We start from the raw sequence: 4895 nt of genomic DNA on the forward strand, positions 1-4895 counted from the left end.
GAGGTTGCAGTGACCCGAGATCATGCCATTGCACTCCGACCTGGGTGACAGATCAAGACTCCATTTAAAAAAAAATTTAAAAAGATTGGCATTATTTTTAAGAAATGCATTGTTTTTGCTCCTGCTAGAAGTTGTTACAATAATAACCATTGAAAATTCTGTTATTATTGCTCCCAACTGGAGACATGAACAAAGGTGATTCCCTGAGATTTGTGGACCCTGGAATACCTGTTTTGGTTGAACATGGCCCATACAACATGCACAGTGAAAACTGCCTTGTGTACAGTCACACTTGGTTCCTAAGCCAAGTTAGGATGTAGGTGCAGCTACTTTTCTCATGTTGTATATGAAGGAAATGAGGGAAGTTAAGTGATTTTCCAATGACAATACTAATATTAATGGGTGAAATTTGAACCTCCTGGGGTCTGTCAGAGCTTGGGATCCTAATCCTACACACTCTGCTTTATGGAGTAGGTCCTGATAGATAGACAGCATAGCCTGTGTTTTCCTGCCCACCTCTGATGCTAAATGCACCCTGAGGCCTGAGAACCAGGTGCCAATTAAAGCTCATTAGGATACCATTGTCTCAGGCAGAAATCGGTACTTCTGATTCAGTCCCCATTTCACTGGGCTCCTGTCCCACAGAATGATGGGAGCAGTGGGCTCTTTGGGGCGTTTCCTTAACCTGCCCAGAGCTCCTTCCTCATATATGTCCTTCTAGATCACCATAAAAGTCAACATTTACATTGAAGCTGGTATTAATGCCAAAGCACGGGGAGTTTTCTCTAAAACAGAAAATGTCCAATTTCTAAAGATCAGGTTCCAGCACAGATAAGTGTTGACTTCAGCCCTTCTGGGAGCTGCTGCCATGCATACCAACAGGGTCCCGGCGCTGTGCTGAGACAACCCACGCTTCTAACAGGGTGTTTGTCAACAAAAGGATCTATGTGGGGCTCGAGGAGGTCTTGAATAATGTATAAAATCCACACGTTAAGGTTGATTAAAATCCTAAGTGCATTATCCAACTGGAGCAATAAAGCTCTTGAGATCTCTGATGGCTGAAATTCATTGATCTTCAAGGACTTTTGTCCTTACAGCACTGTGAGACAATGAATACCAGGGACATCAAATCCATGGCGAGTCCAGCACTAAGGTATAACGCATAGGGACATCTCCAAGTGAATTCATATACAATGGGAATATTGCATCATATATTTGATCCTCATATAGCCAGAAATAAAAAAATGCCAGGAGTTTATCTCTTTTGCTACCTTTTCATAGACACAAAATAAAAGAAAGGAAAGTGTGAGAAGCCAGTTACTAGGGTTTTGAGGAGCACGTTCCATGCCTCATCATATGCCACGTGCTTGATTCTCAAGATTTCTACTGCCATCAGGGAAGCTTTGACCTCTGATCTGGCTCGGGAGAAACAGACCCATAAACTGGTGATTCCTGGGAGAGTCTTGTTTCATGGTGCACCAAATAGGGGTGTGGTTTCCCATTAGAAAACCACTCACAGGAAGGCCCTGAGAAAGGCAGATTCTGGGATAGCCAGACTCCAGGGTAAAAACTTGACCTTTGCCTTGGACACTATGTATGTCCTCTGCCTGTCCCACCAGTGCACTTTGAAAGCAGATAACTTTTTGTCTGATTTCACAGGTTCACAGATGGAGAGGAATTTTGCTCCAGGATGATTCATAGCCCAAGTATCACTCATACATGGTTTAGACGATTTTAGATGCAATTTTGGATTTAGAGTTGAAGCTGAAATGGGTTAGGAAATTTAGGGATGCAGGGATGAGGTGAATATATTTTACACATGAGAAGGACATGAGTTTTGGAGAGTAAAAGGGCAGCATGTTATGAATTAGATTGTGTCCCCTACAACCAAATTTATGTGTTGAAATCCCAAACTCCAGTTCCTCAGAGTATGACCTGATTTAGACATAAGGTCTTTACAGAGTGAATCAAGTTAAAGCGAGGTCATTAGTGGACCCTAATCCAAATGACTGGCGTTCTTATAACAAGAGGAAATTTGGATAGAGACATGAACATGGGGAAACATCAAATGAAGATGAAATAAGAGATCAGGGTGATGTTTCTTCAAATCAAAGAAACTCCCAACCTTCTCTCCCAACCTCTGAACAACAAGCCACCAGATGTTGGGAGAGGGGCATGGAACCAATTCATCCCGGCAGCTCTCAGAAGGAATCAACACTGCTAATATTGTGATCTCAGATCAACAAAACTCCAGAGCTATGAGACAGTACATCTGCGTTGTTTAAGCCACTCATTTTGTGGTACTTTTATGGCAGCCTTAGCAAACAAATATATATTTTGGTATGTTAGCTGAGGGATTACTTTGTTCATATGAAATTTGATAAGTCCATCATGGAAAGCAGATAAAATCTCTGGGTGAAGTGGACTTTGAGAACATAGAGACTTTCCTCCCCTGTTCCCGTCTCCCTAAAGTGGTTCTGGGGAGGCTCCTGAGGAGCCCTGAGACTACAGTTTGAAAATTGCTGACTGCTCTAAGGATAGTAAACAACGCTGACATAATTTGACAGCAACAGCCAACTAGTAGGGCTGCAGCAGCTCCTGGAAGCACTGTGTGAAGGAGGATTTGGAGGCTTCACTCAGGCTCAAGAGTAAAGTGTGCAGTGACTTATTAGTGATGTCTGCCACAGGCATGGGAATTGTGAGGGGAATAATCATGGAACAAACTAACTATTTTCCATTCCTGGACCAGTGCACTCATGTGGCAGAAAGGTCAAGTGACTGACTTAAAGCTACATGGCTCTTTTGGAATCAGATGTACTGGGTGGTGTTTCAAGACCAGATGTGTGTGAGATTTATTCCTCTGTCTATAGATCCACACTGAGTCACTGACAAAGGCCTGGTCATTCATTCAGTGGAGCCCAGCTTTCCACAGTCGTTTGACTCTAGGGCCAAGGTGTGCACCTGCTTTTATTCTTCTCATATTGCTGGTTGTACTGTCAGAATTTCCTTTATTTTTCTCTCTCTCAAATTTCTGTATTGGGCTTTTTCTGTACTTGAGGGTACTCCTTCCCCTCCGGGAAGCATTGGCACTAGAACAATGATTTTCAACTGGGGATGATTTTGTCAACCAGGGGCAATAATTGGACACACGTTTGGCTGGTGCAACTTGGGAGAAGTGCTACTGGCACCTCCTGAATGGAGATTAGGGATGCTGCTCGACAGCTGCAGTCCCCCCAGCAAGGAGTGGCCCTGCCCTGAATATCAGCAGAGCCGAAGTTGAGAAGCCCTGCTCTATCGTTAGCCTCCCTGCTGCCCATGCTTCCAGAAGTTGCCTTATTTTTCCACTTTCTCTTTCCCAGAGCCCCAGTTCCCAGAGTGTCCTCTCCAGGCACCTTCCCATAAACTCGCCAGCGCACACTGGGCAGGAGCAGGGGGCCATTCTGGAGATGCCTGAGAAGGGTGTGTCTTGCCAGTGTTTTGACCACACCTCTCTGAGGAGAACCACTAAAGCCTGGGTCCCTTGAAGGAACATATTCTGATGAAGGGGCATCACAAGGACTGTAAGGACAAGCTGTTCTCCTGAAAGTCATCCTACAGACTCCAGTTCTCTCCCAGTGGGGCGTCACTGCCGTCTATCAACCCCTGGATATTGGTTTAAGAATCTCCCCCACCGGAGGAGATTGTCTAATTTGGGACTTGGGTAATGGAGGGAGGCTTTGGTTAGCCATCTTGGCTTATTCCACAGAGCTTCTTGTCTCTATTTCTGGAAAGGAAAAATTACTTTTTAGAGAATCACAGAATTTTAGAAACAAAGGTTTTTAGAAGCTCCTGTTAGGGGCTGTGACAAATCCGAAGGTTGATGGTATCTGACATGGTTCATTTACACGTCTGTTGTCTGTTGTCTGTCTCCACTACTGGATGTGAGTTCCTGAAAGTCACGGGCCACGTCTTTTTCACTAAAGTATAGTCAATGTCCAGCAGTGCACTGGCATGCAGGACGCACATATACAAGTTTGCTGAATTAATGAATGAAGGCACTGATTAAGTGGGAGCTGGAACTAAAACTCTACTTGCGTATGTGTGTGTGTGTGTGTGTGTGTGTCTGTGTATCTGTGTGTGTGTTCAGACATAAGAATAGTACCTAAATAGATATTTAGTAGGGTTTCCATAAATACTTGTTAAACTAATTGTTGGTTGCTGCGGCTGCTTCCATCTCTGTGCTGAGCATTTGACATATGTAACTCATTTCATTGTCACCCTAACCTTACAAGGTGGGTACTAGTCTCTCCATTCTAAAAGTGAAGACACTGTGCTCAGAGAGGTTTAGTAACTTGTTCAAATCACAGTGCCAAGGAGCAACAGAGCTAAGATTTGAGTCTTGCTCTGGCAGTAAAATCCAAGCTTGTGTGTGCTACTCCCCGACTTTGGAGTTCAAGCAAGGACATTTGGGGCCCATCTTGTACTCCGTGGGACCATTGGGATCTTTGCACAGAGACAGGCCTGGTGAAACCAGCATTTGGGAAGGAGTATTGGGGAGCAAGGGTGGATGCAGGAAACTGCTGTCTTACCCTGGGCAGAGTTATCCAGACAGGAGCAAGGGGAAGGCAACGAGATGGGTGGGCGACTTGAAAGAAAGAAAGATTTGCAGAATGTGCAGGGCCTGGGGGCTTGGAATGTGGAAAATAAAGCTATCCTGGGAAAAGAGAGCAAAGTTAGGAGACATGGGCATAGGGACAGCAAGATGCTGAGTTGATTTTGGAGTATGTTGAGCTTGAGGCTCGTGAAACATCTACTAGAGGGAGACACAACGAAGGTAATAGGATACTTTTGCTATCATACGGTAGAACCCGTTAAAAATAACTCATGCTTAAAGGAGCATATGTTGGATTGTATAA

The sequence above is a fragment of the Homo sapiens genome, chromosome 16, assembly GCF_000001405.40.
Source record: "Homo sapiens chromosome 16, GRCh38.p14 Primary Assembly".
NCBI classification, from domain to species: domain Eukaryota; kingdom Metazoa; phylum Chordata; class Mammalia; order Primates; family Hominidae; genus Homo; species Homo sapiens.